Source organism: Homo sapiens, chromosome 3, assembly GCF_000001405.40.
Source record: "Homo sapiens chromosome 3, GRCh38.p14 Primary Assembly".
Lineage (NCBI taxonomy): Eukaryota > Metazoa > Chordata > Mammalia > Primates > Hominidae > Homo > Homo sapiens.
In genome coordinates, this window is record NC_000003.12 from 183,825,911 (window position 1) to 183,843,562 (window position 17,652).

General features: G+C 44.6%; 1 protein-coding gene across 14 annotated transcripts in view; it reads right to left on the reverse strand.

Annotated features, from left to right (window-relative positions):
* Positions 579 to 17,652, reverse strand: part of PARL (presenilin associated rhomboid like) — a 58,392-nt gene continuing 41,318 nt past the window's right edge. For 5 of the 14 annotated variants that reach the window (XM_005247582.6, XM_024453628.2, XM_047448518.1 and 2 more), the window contains 5 exons: positions 16,388 to 16,537; positions 14,660 to 14,730; positions 7,814 to 7,915; positions 7,582 to 7,679; positions 579 to 822 (listed from right to left, as the gene is read on the reverse strand). In XM_005247582.6, the coding sequence (XP_005247639.1) occupies positions 666 to 822; positions 7,582 to 7,679; positions 7,814 to 7,915; positions 14,660 to 14,730; positions 16,388 to 16,537 (578 nt within the window). In that variant the 3' untranslated portion in view covers positions 579 to 665. Of the gene's footprint in view, positions 823 to 3,360; positions 3,800 to 7,581; positions 7,680 to 7,813; positions 7,916 to 14,659; positions 14,731 to 16,387; positions 16,538 to 17,652 lie in introns of those variants that run through there. The other 9 variants (NR_136893.2, NM_018622.7, XM_017006801.2 and 6 more) reach the window with 8 other exon arrangements.

Genomic DNA, 17,652 nt, shown 5'->3' on the forward strand with positions numbered 1-17,652 from the left:
ATGGTCGCAGCTGGGAGCAGTCCGCCAGCCGGGAGGTTCTCCATGTGGCCTCGGGACGCCCAGCGACTGCTGCATTTGTGCCAGGCTGCACCGCATGGACTCCGCGGGCACAGGGGCAGGTGCAGCAATGAGGGTGTCAGAGAAGACTCGGGGCCCTGCTTCCCGGAGAACACGTGTTTCAGTCAGCCTGTGAGTCGCCGCCTATTTGCCTTTAGGATGCTAGTCTACATTTGTGACAACCAATCCACTTTTCATTAGAATTGGCATTAGCCACCAATCGACCTTTCCCTGGGTTCTGAAATTCCTAATTTTAAAGCATGGCCATTTGCAAAAGCTTTAGTTTGATAAAGCGGCCACAGAACTGGCCACAAGGCTATCAAGTTCCTTTCCTCCTGTGCATGCATGGCTGTTTTCAGGCAGAGCTGTTGAGGGATCCTCCAGCGTAAAGGCAGGTCTGTTCAATGCAGGACACCGTCTCAAACAACTCCCTGACCACCCACAAACGCTTTTCTGAATATTTGACACATGCTCTCGGTATACACTGCAGACCAATTACTAATAACACTACTGAGACAGCATTAATTACCCAGAGCTCCATTTCAAGGTTGTACTTGGAAGGTATCCAGTCTGCGCCTGGGAGGGGACTGCAGCACATCCCTGGCCAGTCAGAAAACAGATTCATCTCCCAAAACATTGCCTGTCTTAGCTTGAAGTTGTAGCAAAGTGACATGACGGCTGCCTAGAAGTGGCAGCAGGTCAGCTGAGCAGGCCAGGCCATGTCCCAGCAGGCAGCAGGCGAGGCGCCAGGTGTAGAGGGAGATCCTGGAAAATGACACACAGGGGCCGGGTCAGAGTGAACTCTTTGTGGACTGTCCGCCACGGCCCTGGGTTAGCCAGCCTGGCAGATGGCGCTTGGGACTAAAATTCTCCATCTCGCAGGAAAAGAGAGCAGCTCTCTTTTTATTACTTCATTGATCAAACAACAGTCAAAGAGCAGTTGCTATGTGCTAGGAATAATTCTGGGTGCCTTCAGGAGGTTTAGTGTGGTAGTGAGGGACGGAAGGAAGTGTAATTGAACTGACAAGGCCAGGTCAGCATGAGAGGGAGGCAGGCTGGGGAAAGCTGGACTCGCCACCTGTTGTGAGGGAGGGTGGTTGGGCCAGGTGGGAATGTAGGTCACGGGGGAGGAGGGTTCAGCTGAGGTAGCAGACCATGGAGGGTCTTGGTGGCCACACTAAGGAATTTTAGCTTTTCATATGGCCGGGTGCAGATGGCTCATGCGTGGAATCCCAGCACTTTGGGAGGCTGAGGCAAGAGGACTGCTTGAGCCCAGGAGTTTGAGAACTGCCTGGGCAACACAGTGAGACCCTGTCTCTACAAAAAACTTTTAAAAATTAGCCAGGCGTGGTAGTGTGTGCCTGCAGTGCCAGCTACTTGGAGGCTGAGGCTTGAGCCCAGGACTTCAAGGCTACAGTGAGCTATGATTGCACCACTGAACTCCAGCCTGGACGAGAGAGAGAGAGAGAGACCCTGTCTCAAATAAATAAAAGTTTTTCACAGGTGACAACAAAGGAATGACAGACATGTTTTTAGCACTCTGGCAGGCATATGGAGAAGCACAGGGTTGCTTTGGAGACCAGCTGGAAGAACAGGCTCAACAGTCCAGGGACTAAGAAGTGAGGACCACCACGGAGTCACAGGCACTGGGAAGGCTGAGGGGCTGAATTCTAGAAATAAGAGGCGAGAGAGGGAGATCTCGAATGGCTCCGGGTTTCAGACTTCACCGATTGCTCGTGTCACTCCTTAAGCCGAGTGCTATTTGAGGGGCCTGTGCAGGGCGGGGGGGTGGTCCCAGAGCCTGGAACCATGCGTGTGTTGCAGTAGACACATTTACTAAGAGTACAGAGAGATTCTGTGGGTCTGGAGCTCAGAATCCTCACAGATAACTGAGGCTTCAGCAAGTGCACCCACTCAAGAAGTGTATGGAATGAGGGAGACGGCAGCCACGGCATGTTCCTAGGTACCCCACACTTCAGATGCCAGTGGAGGCGGCACAGCCCAAGAGGCCCACGGGCCAGGGAGTGCATGGCCTTGAAGGCAGTGATCGCGGGTCCCCAGAGAAGCCAAGAGGAGAAAGTGAAGCACCCTCGTGGGCAATCAGGAGGGAGCTGTGGACAGCAAGGCTTCTCCGGCCACAGCCAGGTTCTGGCCTCCCCAGGCCATGCACAGAGGCTCCAGCATTGAGGGGTTTTAGGGACCAGGAGATGCTACAGGGACTTCTAACTTTTTCCCAGTCACAAAGCAGGGACACAGAGATGTCTTCATTGCCTCTTTGCCTGGTCTGCCCAAAGCACGATGTGAATTAATGTTGGGCTCTAGAGGGAATGTCCCTATGAACTCAGCCTCCTATCCCATCTCTGGAAAACGCATCTTGCCTCATCTGTGTTGCAGAGTTGTTAGCAGATGTCAGAGCAAAGCATTGTGACCTTGGGCAGTGCCCCTACACCACGTGTGCCGTTTCCTCGCTGGCAAAATGATGGCTAAGATAACTCTCTCCCCTAGAAGTGATACGAGTTTAGAACAGAATCCTGTGCCTGGGAAGAATAACTGTAAATCATAGTAGAAACAAGTCCAGCCTGATGGAAGAAGGATATGAAGGACTGCCAAATACTGGACAATTTCTATGTGCTGGGCGCGTGCTGCCATGCAGTTCTCACTTGCCTGGTGAGGTGGGCACCACTCCCACTCCTTTTCCAAAGCCGCCATTCCCATCCCCCACGGCACACAACCTGAGTCCGATCGGCCACAGGAGGCTGAAATCAGGGCCTTCGATCCTCCCAGGACAAAGCTGCAAGACTTGGTATAACATTTTGAAGCCATCAAAAGACTAAAAATTCTCCTGTAAATGACTTCAAGAAGAACATACTCTCAAACTGCATTTCCTAGATGTCATTCTCAGTCACGAGGGTAACATGAATTCCACAACAGTGAGGCTGTGACGACGACAGCCACTATCTGCTATTTCAGTGAGACGCTTCAATTAGAACACTTTCAAACAGAAGATAAAATTCGGCTCAGATTCAAGTCTGAATTTACCCAAATCACTTCTTTCTACCTCTTAATTTATCTACAAATTGAACCTAGAAAGCAAAACCTGAAAATAGCTTTTTGTATATGCCACTCACTGCCAGAAAACACTACCTTTCCTGAAAATTGAGAAAATACTGCAGCTGTTATTTCAGATTGTGCTGGAGAGGGGATACTCTCGACTTTTATGTGCAGCCAACCCAGGGGAGGGGGAGGCAAGGAAGAGTGAAGGCTAAGCAGAGGCACTGGAGGGTCCAAAGACAGGCAACCAGCGCCTTCATGTTCTGATCAGGCCTTTCAGGGTGCACTCTCCCCAGGTCCTGTCAATGCAACAACCAAAGCAAAATGCCAGAGCCGTGTCGGCCCCTTAAAGAGAGAACACACACATCTGCTTACAAACTAGATAGAAACCTTTATTTCACAACTTTATCATCATTCACATTCTAAAAAGACACGGACTGGGGGACACAGCTGAAAACAGTGGGAGGCCAGATGCTGGCATCTTCCAGACGGGAGCATAGCCATGGTCACTCTAGCCGATGTCTCCTGGGGCTCTCAGGCGGCAAGGACCAGATGCACCACTACTGTCCAATCCCAGTTTTACTTAGAGCCACCTCCTTTTTTGGGGCCATTAGTCCTTATTTCATGCCAGATTTTCACTAGCGGCTCCCTGTTCTTCCAAATCAGTTCATGACCGTAAGTAACATACCATCTGGAGAAAAACAAACCAGGTCCGACATTCAAACAGTGTGACATACAAATGGTAAGTAGCATGGTGACAGATCCCAAGTTGACATTTTTAAAATCGAATGCCACTCACTATGTAGCCGATTAAAACTGACTCACATCGAGAAATGGTTTAGCTTTCATATTACAATATGTAAAAGGTAGAAGTAGGATGGGACGATGGCTGAATGCTCCGCAGTGTGTGAGTACTTCACATATACTACTTTTGATTCACCACTATCTGCAAGTTAAGTATCAGTTTTCCCATCGCAGACATGAAGCAACCAGGTCTGAAAGAAAGTAGTTTGTCCAAGGTGCTAATAGTTTCTAAGTGGTCAATGAAAGCTCACTCGCAGGTCAGACTGACTCGATGTTCTGAAGTGTCAGAATTAGCACTGACTCAGGATGGCTATCCCAGCTTCCATGCCTCCCGTCATCTTCCTCCTAACTATACGAAGGGTGGCCCGCTCATCCAAACTCTGCCCCGCTTTAAGATACCTAGTTCCCATCCCCACTCTCCTGTTCACACAGCCTAACTGCGGCCTGAAGCAACGAGCCTGGGAGGCTGACGCACAGAGAGGTTTAGTAACTTCGCCTGCTCAGGTTCCACAACTAGGAATCAGCAGACTGAGACTAGAACCCGAGTCTGCTGCTGAAGCCTGTGCTGCAGGCACTGGACTTTCCTGCAGCGTGTAGGGAGCATCTTCTGTGAGCTGGGGAGCACACTGCGCTCTGGGAAGGGCCTGCCTTGGAGAAGCTCCTGAGGGCACTGGGGGTAGAGAAAGGCTTCCTGGAGGATGTGGGGTGGATTTCCAGGGGCAGTTAGTGAGAGCTTGCTATTAAAACCTTTATTTTTGCTCTGGCTTCCCCAAACAGATTTCATGTTCCCTGAGGCAGAGACCAGATTTTGTTATCTTGCATCGAGCTCCCAGACACCTGACTGAAAAAATGCTATTTGACTTGGAGTGGGTGAGAAGAGCAGTTTAATGTTTTAATATTTTAAAAATGTTCTGAATGTGTATGTTTAATTATAAAGGGCTTGATTTGTACCTGAATCTTAATATTCACTAAATATAGTTAAAATCTGATTATACACATTAATTAACAGGCATGTAATAAAAATTCTCTGTGCTTAAGTCTCTGGTGAATTTAGAATGAGAGAAAAAGGAGCACCCTAATATTCAAATGCAATTATAAAAATTCTCCCCAAAAAAATCACTTTGTCAGGAACTCTTCATTAATAAAGTGTTTTCCCAAATCTTTTTTGTTGTTAGACAGAGTCGCGCTCTGTTGCCCAGGCTGGAGTGCAGTGGCGTGATCTCAGCTCACTGTAACCTCTGCCTCCTGGCTTCAAGTGATTCTCCTGCCTCAGCCTCCAAGTAGCTGGTATTACAGGCATGCACCACCACGCCCGGCTAATTTTTGTATTTTTAGTAGAGACGAGGTTTCCCCATATTGGTCAGGCTGGTCTCGAACTCCTGACCTCAAGTGATCTACTTGCCTCAGCCTCCCAAAGTGCTGGGATTACAGGCGTGAGCCACTGCGCCCGGCCACCCAAATCTTTTTAACCTACTTATTTCAAGCAAAGAGTCAAATACTTTAATTTCACAGGTATACTGTCTGATTATACTCATAAATCCAAAAGGAATTTTTCATTTGGCTAAACTAAAATCGGGAAATGCAAGATGACCGATTTCTAGGGCACTCTTTTCTGTAGCGGCAGCGCAAGCCAGCCCTCATCTGAAACTCCAGCTCTGCAATTGTTACTTGTGTGACCTGGATAAGTTACTTTCTTTAAGCAGTTTCTTTTTCTGTAAAATAAAATACCTCACAGGATTTTAAGAGAATTAAATCCTTAGCTTAGGCACACAGCAAATATTCAGCGTATTAATATGTTAGCTATTATTATTGCAACAGTACAATGTGAATACTGTAAGGTTTGGTCAGAGGCAAAGTCAGGGAAATGTATAAGTGGATACTAATGGAGTCTTTACCACCAACAAAATCAGGGCACTTCAACGAAAAAAAAATAAATAAAAGATTTTAGATTTCTAAATCTAGATTAAAGCTTTTAGAAAAGATGAATTCTGGACATGACTGAAATCTAGTAAATGAAAAGGAGTTTAAATTAGAAACAGTAAAGAGAAAGGATTCCTCCACCTTTCAGACCCTGGACTTTAAAATGCATTTGATCCAATTATTTTCAGAATGGAAAAAGGCCACCTAATTATAGTTCAGATGAATAAAAATCTACTGGGGAGAAGAGCCTTGAAGTATACATGGAAGATAAATTTAGAGCTCACAAAACAGAACCCCTTCATGTTTCTCATACTGTAATATCAGGTCAGTTTCTACTATTTATACTGCACTGCTGTTAGAGCTAGACCTTGCATATACTACATACTACTCCTCTTTAATCACTTAAAATTATAAATGGCATAATGGCATTTAGTTCTGCCACCTACTGGGAAAAACTGCTTCACTTAGAATAGATTTTTCTTTTTTTTTTTTTTGAGACAGAGTCTCACTTTGTCGCCCAGGCTGGAGTGCAGTGGCGTGATCTCGGCTCACTGCAAGCTCTGCCTTCTGGGTTCACACCATTCTCCTGCCTCAGCCTCCCGAGTAGCTGGGACTACAGGCGCCCGCCACCACGCCCGGCTAAGTTTTTTGTATTTTTAGTAGAGACGGGGTTTCACTGTGTTAGCCAGGATGGTCTCGATCTCCTGACCTTGTGATCCGCCTGCCTTGGCCTCCCAAAGTGCTGGGATTACAGGCGTGAGCCACTGCACCTGGCCAGAATAGATTTTTCTTTTTAATAAAAAAAAAAATTAAGTTTTCCATTGTCGCGGAACAAAATAAAAACCAAGTAAGGGCAAAAGGCAACATTTATGTAAGAAAAGACAGGCCCCGAGGGGATCCAGCTCATGCTGACGGGTCTCCCACGATCAGATGGACGCCAAGAGTCCTGACCGTGTTTCCGTGATACAGTTACTACTAAGCACTAGTCTAGGCAAAACCCCATTGTTTGAAGCACACGTGGAAGGTCTTGTAACCACAATGCCATTTGCTGTGACCCAAGGAAGCAGTTTAGCAACCAATTCCATATGGTGTGGTGGGGGTGGAAAGGGCTTATAGAGGTGGGTTTACAGCTCTGCTCTGCTATTGAAGAGCTGTTTGGCCTGGGGAAGATGATGTCTGAGCCTCAGTTTCCCATCAGTAAAATGGGAGTAGTAATAGTATAACATAAGGGAACTAGCTTGGTGCCTGCATACAGCGGGTACTCAGTAAGTGGTCCACATTGGTTTGCAGTCACCGGCCTCTACTCCAGTCATACAGAGCAATGGCTCCGCCAACTCAGCATGTCTAAATAGCACTGGCGAGACAGAGGTCAGGGTAGCAGGGTGGGACGCCAGGCAGGGGAGAGGAGGGCAGGAAAGTCTGAAGGGGAAAAAGAAGATGTCAGCATAGACTGGGGGCCAGGCTGCAGTCTTCTAAGAGGGGGCTGGGAATAACAGGCCAACAGTTGGGGCAACTTAAGGTTAAGCGTAGGGTAAAGGCACAGACTGTCTCTACAATGAGCCAGGTATGCTGGGTAAACCCAAAGCAAGCCACGTTGAGGTTTCCTCACCCTCCCAAGCCCACCTGCTTCTGCTTCCGTTGCATAGTTCAATGTCTCTGCCATGGGGATGGGGGGTAGGGGTGAGGCTGGGGTAGGAGGAGCGCATGACCCAAGGAAGCAGTTTAGCAATCAATTACACTCAAACTTACATTCCAAAAAGAGCTCCCCCAAGATGTGCCGCATGATCAAAAAATTTCCATCCCAGGATCATTCCTGCTGTATCCATGGCGATAATGGCTTTCAGGGCCTGAAAGGCAGCAAGAAACAAGCGGCACAACTGTGATTGCTCCAGCACTGACATTTCTAACTTAAGGGCAAGAACCCACTCAACATAAAAACATCACCACTATCCCCAGCACTGCACTTCATAAAAATACTTACATTCCCTGCTGTGAACGTGAACATCGGAAGGAAAATAATGGCAAGCCTCCCTTCTGGGATCTTAGTGCAGACAGCTGCGAGGACTGTCATGATGGCACCAGACTGCAAAGTAACACAGCAGGGAGAATGGGAAACTCAATATGCAACTGCTTAGTGGCTACAAGGTCTAAAGAGCAGCACATTTTCTAGAAAGTTTACATGCTGCACATTTCTAGGTGAGCACAAAGCTTCAAAGCTTTCAGTTACTTATGTCCCCAATAATAGGTGAAGGAACTAAATGTCCTTCACACAGTAATCGCTTGGAAAGACTGAATTTTTACTACGGGGCAGTAAGATGTATGTGCCTCATGAACCGCAAGGACAGTGCTAAGCGTGTCATGCGCATCTTTCACCTATGGCCTAGGAAAGAACTGCTCACACTTCTCTGACAAAGCTCCAACCAGAGGGAGTGGGCATGAATACGCCCAAAGAAACCTGCATGCATGAAGCATGTTTCATCTTAAAAAATTCATGTGAAATCTTTATTCATCTTCATAAAGAAACAAAACATTGCCAGTGTGGTGGCTCACGCCTGTAATTCCAGCACAGTGTGAGGCATGAGGATCCCTTAAGCCCAGGAGGTCAAGGTTACAGTGAGCTATGATTGCACCACTGCACTCCTGCCTGGGCAACAGAGTAAGACCCTGTCTCAAAAATAATAAAGGAATAAACTGATACACAGAACATGGATGAGTCTCAAAGTAATTATACAGAGTAAATGAGGCCAGGACAACAAATACTAGTATATGCTGTATGGTTCCATTTGCAAACTAATTTATCTTTAGTAGAAGTAGGTAAGTTGTCGCCAGGGGTAGAGGAGGGGCAGGAAGGAGTGACCACTAGGAAGCTTTTGGGATGAATATGTCCATGATCTTGAGTGTGGTGATGGTTTCACGGGTGTCTACATGTCAAAGCTTACCAAACTTTAAATATGTGCAGTTTTTTGCATGTTAACTAGTAAACCTGAGTTGCCTGCTTTTTAAAAAGACTACATGGGGCTGGGTGCAGTGGCTCTCGCCTATAATCCCAGCACTTTTGGAGGCCGAGGCAGGTGGATCACCTGAGGTCAGGAGTTTGAGACCAGCCTGACCAACGTGGTAAAACCCCGTCTCTACTAAAAATACAAAAAAAAAAAAAAAAAAAAAAATTAGCTGGGCGTGGTGGCGGATGCTTATAATCCCACCTACTTAGGATGCTAAGGCCCGAGAATTGCTTGAACCCGGGAGGCAGAGGTTGCAGTGAGCCGAGATTGTCCCACTGCACTCCAGCCTGGGTAAAACAGCGAGACTCTGTCTCAAAACAAAACAAAACAAACAAACAAAAAAGACTTTATGGGAGTCCTCTGTACTATTTCCTGCAACTTTCCATAAGTTTTTAATTATTTATGAATGAGATGTTTAAAAAAAAAAAAAAGACACCTAAGAGCAAAATAACTTTTGAAAGAAGCCCCTATCATTAAAAAGAAAGGTTCCTACCTTTTCATATAAAAACGGTTGTTTCTGGAAAATAGCATCTACCTCTCTTAATCAATGTTTTCTTAATGTCTTCTATGTGACGGGTTGCTTCAGAATACAAGATTATCTTACATTTGGGGAATTACTAAAACTTTAAAGAAAATTATTATGAGTCCCAGAGATCTCAGATGTCCCCAGTCCCTCATATAACTGCCAAGTGGCCTCAACAGGGAAACAAGCTCGGGTTGCATTCTTAGAAGTCAGGGTAACTGCAAGATGGAAGGACAGCATGAACACTCCTCAAAAGGAGGACCCAAGAAGACCTGAATTTTGACCAAGCTGGCTTCTGTGCAAGAGACTATAATTGTAGCCGGGCACGGTGGCTCACGCCTGTAATCCCAGCACTCTGAGGGGCCGAGGCAGGTGGATCACCTGAGGTCAGGAGTTCAAGACCAGCCTAGCCAACATAGTGAAACCCCGTCTCTACTAAAAACACAAAAATTAGCCAGACGTGGTGGTGGGCGCCTGTAGTCCCAGCTACTCGGAAGGCTGAGGTTGTGGTGAGCCAAGATTGAGCCACTGTACTCCAGCCTGGGCGACAGAGTGACACTTTATCTCAAAAAAACCCCAAAACAAATCAAAATTACACGTTTCCCCAAAATGAAGCAAATATAATTTGATTAGTTGATATGAAAGAGCATTAAAATTCTATGAAGTTCTGCCAGGCACAGTCGCTTACACCTGTAATCCCAGGACTTTGGGAGGCTGAGGCGGGCAGATCACCTGAGGTCTGGAGTTCGAGACCAGCCTGACCAACATGAAGAAACCCAGTCTCTGCTAAAAATACAAAATTAGCTGGGCATGGTCGTGCATGCCTGTAATCCCAGCTACTCAGGAGGTTGAGGCAGGAGAATTGCTTGAACCCGGGAGGCAGAGGTTGTAGCGAGCCGAGATCGCACCTTTGCACTCCAGCCTGGGCAACAAGAACGAAACTCCATCTCAAAAAAAAAAAAAAAAAAAAAAAAAAAAAATTCTATGAAGTTCTTCTAAACTACTATTCCATAGATGATTATTCTCCATCTGTTAAAAAAAATTGTCGTTATCTGTACAATTCCATGGAACGCTGGTTTTTTTGTGATTATAACTTATTGTAATTATTACATACACAGTTCCATCATCCTTCTAGAATTTTCTCGATGTGGCTTTTATATAAATTTAAATATTTATATGTCTGAATAAATCACAACTTGTTTTTTGACAAATATTTGGGCTTACTCCCATGCAGAGAGACTTTTTTCACTTTTTCGAGTCAGAAAGAAGAATTTAATGAAAATGAACCCTTCTCTTCTCAGAAAACGCTCACATTCATACACAGTTTAAGTACAGTGAGTCATGAACCCTGATCCAACAGACCTAAGAGGTGTGGGTCCATGGGAAGAGGTGAAGGTCTTTTGTTCTCCATCAATATTTTTATGTACTGGTTATATACCTGTAATCAATATGCACATCTGATTTTTTTTTACTTATTTCATAAACATATATTTTTTGAGACAGAGTCTCGCTATTGCCCAAACTGGAGTGCGGTGGCACGATCTCACTGCAACCTCCGCCTCCCAGGTTCAAGTTAATTCTCACACCTCAGCCTGCCAAGTAGCTGGGACTAACAGGTACACACCACCATGCCCAGCTAATTTTTGTATTTTTAGTAGAGATGGGGTTCCACCATGTTGGCCAGGCTGGTTTCGAACTCCTGGCCTCAAGTGATCCACCCACCTCGGCCTCCCAAAGTGCTGGGATTACAGTTGTGAGCCACTGCGCCTGGGCTCACAAACATTTTTCTGTATCTATATAATCTTCAAATCTATCATACTTATGTTTTTTAACTTTATTTGGTATTATAATTTAAGTGAATCTGCTCCCTCTGCTTACAAAAGCTAAGTACAGCTAAAGACCCTGGGTGTTACATATGAAACAAATGTAAGAGGACTGTGAAAGGAAGAGAGAGGAAAGCGGACCAGCTAGGAAGCCTGAGATTCAATCAATGTTGTGGTGGTGAGTTCCCTGGGCTTTCTTTTGGCCTCATATCGATCATCCCTCAACATGTTCTCTCTAGTCAAGGACCAAAAAAAGATAGCCTAGCAAAAGAGACCTTTTAGACAATATTTAGAGAAACGGGTGCCCAGCAAAGGCTGAGCAGAGCCTAGACTCCCACCCTTGCCACACTGTAATGAGGCATCCCAATACGCCTAACAGGCGGTGTCAGCGGAAAGAAGCACCCTTGCTCCTCCTAGCCACAGCGACATTAGCAGAGGCACACTAGGTAGCCTGCACGCCCTCAGCTCCCATCCCTGCCCTGCAGTGACAAGAGCCCCTATCACTCAGGAGGCAAAGGCGGCTGAGTGAGGAACCTGGACGTCTACTCCTACACCCAGCAGTAACGAGTCACGGCACCCCCTCTCCTCATCAGAACAGTGTCAGAGGAAGACCACTGAAACAGCAGATTTCAATAAGATCCAAAGTCTCATCATATCTAAAATGATCAGGCTTCAACTGAAAAATCACTCATCATATCAAGAACCAGAAAAATCTCAACTTGAATAAGAAAAGACAATTGGCCGGGTGTAGTGGCTCACACCAGTAATCCCAACACTTTGGGAGGCCCAGGTAGGAGGATCACTTGAGCCCAGGAGTTTGAGACCAGCCTTGGCAACATAGGGAGACCCTGTCTCTACAGAAAAGTTTAAAAATTATCCAGGATAGTACCAATACAGTAATTTACAAACATATTTTAACAGTCCCATTCAACTTTCTTTTTTTTTTTTTGAGATGGGGTCTCGCTATGTTGTCCAGGTTGGAGCACAGTGGCATGCTCATGGCTCACAGCAGCCTCACCCTCCTAGGCTCAGGCATTCCTCCCACCCTCCCACCTCTCCTGAGTAGGTAGGATTACAGGTGCATGCCACCATGCCCGGCTTAATTTTGAAATTTTTTGTAGAGATGGGGTCTCACTTTGTTGCCCAGGCTAGTCTCAAACCTCCTGGGCTCAAGTGATCTTCCTGCCGTGGCTCCCAAAGTGTTGGGCCTACAGGCGTGAGCCACTGTGCCTGGCTGTCCCCTGCATCTTATAACGTCTCACTAAACCAAGAGGACTAACGCTTTACATTTTGTAACAACACAACTTTGTTAATGGTGTTTTTTTCCCAGATTTCTCATTAAAAATGCCATTATACCTGGTGATTTAATTTCCTTGAATTTTAATCACAGATTCATTAAGATATTTGGGGATAATGTTATCCTACCACGGCGCTGTAGGATTTTGATGACTGAACAGGAACTACCATGTCCACATTTCTTACCATGTGCTTCTTATTGTGCTAAGCACTCTAAATGTACTTGCTTTGCACCTCAGAAATAGATGGTGTTATCCCCATTTTATAAAGGGAAACTGAAATTCAGAGAAGTTCAGTAATATGTCCTAGAAATCACACGTAAGTAGCAGAACCAGGATTCACCCCCACTCTAACTCCAAATACCTTACTGCCATACTTCATTAAGTTTGCACTTCAGTTTCTTATCTATAAGATGAGGACAACAGCTGTCCAAGAGCACATCAAAATGCCCTCGCAGGTCCTTTCAGCTAATTAGAAAGGTCTCTTCACTCTTAGAGCCCCCAAAGTCCTCTAGAGAATCCTCATTCCTTTCAGTGTGTATTAGATGTGTGTATGTTTTCTCCCCAGCTAAATTCGAATTCTGAGTCTCTGATTCATCCTAGTGGTCTTCACTGCCTTCATATATTAGGTGCTTAGCTGTTGAATGAGGTAGACAATATGATTCGAAATATATAAATTATATCAGAGCGAAATTGTATAAAGAAAATAAACATTCCACGAAGGGAAAGAAGGAGGCTTAAGAAAGCATGTGGTCACAGGACAGAACACAGGCCTCACTAGGAAAATTAAGTGTAAACAAATTTGGGGAACATACAAATTAGGGAATGGTTATTTTACATAAGAATTCTTTTCAAAATTGACCTTTTTAGAGTTCCTTTAAATAGGAAATTCCCTATTTGAATGCATTTAAATGAATTAGTATTTAAATAAGTACAAACTGAATGTGTAAGGAAATATTACATAAAGATTTCCATGTGCCCAGAAATCTGCCATTAAACTCAAAAGACACTTAAAAAAATTTTTTTTCTTTGAGACAGGGTCTTGTTCTGTGAGACAGGGTCTTGTTCTGTCACCCAGGCTGGAGTGCAGTGGTGCAATCTCAGCTCACTGCAACCTCTACCCGCTGGGTTCAAGTAATTCTCCTGCCTCAGCCTCCCGAGTAGCTGGGATTACAAGCATGCACAACCACACCTGGCTAATTATTGTATTTTCAGGAGGGACAGGGTTTCACCATGTTGACCAGGCTGGTCTTGAACTCCTGACCTCAAGTGAGCTGCCCACCTCAGCCTCCCAAAGTGCTGGGATTACAGGTGTGAGCCACTGCACCCAGCCTCAAAACACACTTAAAAAAAAATTTTTTTTTTGAGATAGGGTCTTGCTATGTCACCCAGGCTGGGGTGCAGTGGTACAATCACAGCTCACCGCAGCCTCAACCTCCTAGGCTCAAGCTATCCTCCTTCCTCAGCCTCCTGAGTAGCTGAGACTACCGGCATAAGCCACCACCCCCAGTTAATTTTTTAAATTTTTTTGTACAGATAGGATCTTGGTATGTTACCAGGGCTGGTTTCGAATTCTTGGGCTCATCCTCTCACCTTGGCCTCCCAAAGTGCTGGGATTACAGGTGTAAACCACTGCATCCAGCCTAAGAAAAATTTTTTTAAGCATCCAGAATATAAGAGCTCTGAGGGCAGGAGCCTTTTTTGTTGTTGTTGTTCCCCACTTTCTAAAACCAACACAAATAATCGTGATCATCTTGCTCACCAGCTGTTATCCCCAGGCTCTAGCATAGCACCTAGTAGGCACTCCAATATTGACTAAATAGGAGGATAAAGTACCAGATTCAAATCTATAATTAGAATCTTCCAATACTGGATTAGGCTCTCTGGTTTACGAGGATTGCACACTTACTGTTCTGAGATATACTCTGCTCTGGTAAACATATATATATGACCAATGGTTAAAAGCTATAGCCGGACATTTACAAAGCTTTACAAATGTATAAATTCTAAATTAGTCAACTGTATTGTTTCAATGTTAATTTCTTGGTTTCGATGTTAGTTAACAGTAGGGTGAAGGGTATATGAGAACCTCTTATCAATTTTACAACATTCTTCTAAGTCTAAACTTATTTCAAAGTAAATTTAAAAATTAAATTAAAAAAAATTTACAATAGAAATACTTACTGCACCAAGTGATGGTCCATATCTTCCTGTGGCAACTTTACCCACGTAACTGACAAAATTGGAAATAACACCTGAAAAACAAGTCACATTACAATAATTTAAGTGAGGTATAAAAATGGTTTACTTTTTTTTTTCTTTTCTTTTTTTTTTTTTTGAGACAGAGTTTCACTCTTTCGCCCCGGCTGCTGAAGTGCAGTGGTACAATTTTGGCTCACTGCAACCTGTGCCTACCGGGTTCAAGTTATTCTTGTCCCCCAGCCTCCTGAGTAGCTGGGATTACAGGCGTGCGGCACCACATCCAGCCATGAAAATGGTTTTCATTTCTGATTTCTACACAGATAAACAGTGTCGGGTTTCAATCTGGATCACTGTGAGGGTACGGGCATGAATACTTCTCCTGCCTATCATTTCAGCGACTTTACAGGGGATGAAAAGTCTGACCTGCTGCATGATCTGCTGAGCGACACGGTCATTCACTCCACTTCTCAGTTACCATTTTCCTCAACTATAACATGAAGACTCATTCCCAAGAGTATATTCTCTGGCTGTACTCCAGACACACGAAATCAGAATATCTGGGGTGGGACAACAGACTGGATGATCCCGTAAGTCTCTTTGGCTTCAGTGCCATTTGAGTCAACGTGGCTCATTTTTAAAAACCTCCTATGGAGCAGGAATTAATGTATCTGAAACAGACCCTCTGTAACTACAACATAACTAGTGCTTGGGAAAGAACTATACACTTATCTTACAAGCCAAACACAATGCTCAGCTTCTTTTTTTGAAGGACTAGATACACATAAGTATTCGATGAACACTAATTAAGCATCTACTCTGGGGCTTGTGGTAGATGCTTTTATGTAGTCCTTTCTTTAACCCCTTGTCATGAGGAGGTAAGTATCATGAGGTTTAGTCATTTTTGCAACATCACTCAGCTGGTAGTAGAAATAGGATCTGAACCTGGGTCTATCGCCAAGCTTAGTGTTTTTCACTACATCACAGCACAACTGCCAGATATACTGTTTCTAAATGTAGAGATTTTAGAAATTAATTTTTATATTGTATTAAGTAAGTACATTTTACAAACAGAGAGGTAAGTAAAATTTGACCAACTGTCACGTTAGCAGCATCTAGGGACCTGGATTCATGCATGAGAATTTCCTAACTGAAATAAGAAACGATACCATCTTCAAGACCATGGCTAGGAAGTGGTTCCCTGCTACATTCTTGCAAAGAAGACAGAACAAACTCACTCTTGACAATCATATTGTATAGCTCTGATTTAAAGCTTTCTGTGAACTGAACACACTGGGGGAAATGAGCTTGCTTAAGGTTATTTAACAAAGACCCAGGAGATTGAGGCAGCCGGGAAGTCTGGGAACCACTATCTATAAAATGGAGGGCCTAAACTAATGAAATCAAGGCCCGATGAGATTACAAAAATGACATGCTTAAATTCTACACTAACCCTTACTTAACGCCTGTTTATCCTAACTTAAAATTAAACATACCCACATAATTCATATGTAAGAAGAAATCAGCAAAATGAACAGAAAAGGCAACATCTCCACCAATCTGTGGCTCCCTTCTCTACATACACTGTGAGAAACAAATATGTTCTGAGCACTCACTACGTGTAGAATATGGCAGTAATCATTCCCTTTGTCCGTTCTGCAGATAGCTTAGAGTGCTTATACTCTCAAAGGCCCCGAGATTAAAGCATATTACCTGCAGATAGGTACACTGCCATGAACTGCTCTTGACCCAGAATGTTCACTATGCTGGAAGAGAAGCTCCACAAAACATACATATTTGCTGCCATGTGAAATAAGGAGAAATGACTGAATGTTGACAGCAACATTGGAGAACAAAGGACCTCTACAAGAGAGAGAAACATAGTCTGGTAATCATGAAACACACAGCCAATAAAAATTATCCATTTTAAACTTTTAAAATTAGGCCGGACGCAGTGGCTCACGCCTGTAATCCCAGCACTTTGGGAGGCCAAGGCAGGCGGATCACTAAGTCAGGAGTTCAAGACCAGCCTGGCCAACATAGTCAAACCCCATCTCTATTAAAAATATAAAAATTAGCCAGGTGTGGTGGCGCACGTTTGTAATTCCTGCTACTCGGAAGGCTGAGGCGGGAGAATCACTTGGACCCAGGAGGTAGAGTTTGCAGTGAGCCAAGATTGAGCCACTGCACTCCAGCCTGGGCCATAGAGCGAGACTCTATCTCAAAAAAAAAAAAAAAAAAAAAATTTATGAAACAAACATGGAAAACAAAAACAGCTATTTTTAAGACTTTTTTTTTTTTTTGGAGAGAGTCTTGCTCTGTCGCCCCAGGCTGGAGTGCAGTGGCACGATCTTGGCTCACTGCAGCCTCAACTTCCTCAAGTTGAGGCTCAAGGGCTCAAGTGATCCTCCCACCTCAGCCTCCTGAGTAGCTGGGACCACAGGTACATACCCCATGCCCAACTAATTTTTGTATTTTTAGTAGAGATGGGGTTTCACCATGTTTCCCAGGCTGGTCTCGAACTCCTGAGCTCAAGCAGTTCACCTGCCTCAGCCTCCCCAAGTGCTGGGATTATAGATGTGAGTCACTATGCCCAGCTTAAGACATCATTTTTAAAAGTGACAAAAAGCTGTCTTAATAAATCTCTTTTCTACTTAGTAAGCAACCAATAAAAACTCTCAGTTCAATGAAAGCAACTTGTCCTTATGGCAAAAGTTGATTAGAAAAAAATAAGCAGTCTGGGCAACATGGCAAGACCTCATCTGCACTAAAAACAAAAAAAATTAGCTGGGCATGGTGGCATGCACCTGTAGTCCCAGCTCCTGGGGGCTGAGGTGGGAGGATCAGTTGAGCCTGAGAAGCAGAGGTTGCAGTGAGCCAAGATCGTATCACTGCACTCTAGCCTGGGCAACAGAGCAAGACCCTGTCTCAAAAAATAAAATAAAATAAAATAAAAAGTAAATTGGCCGGGCGCAGTG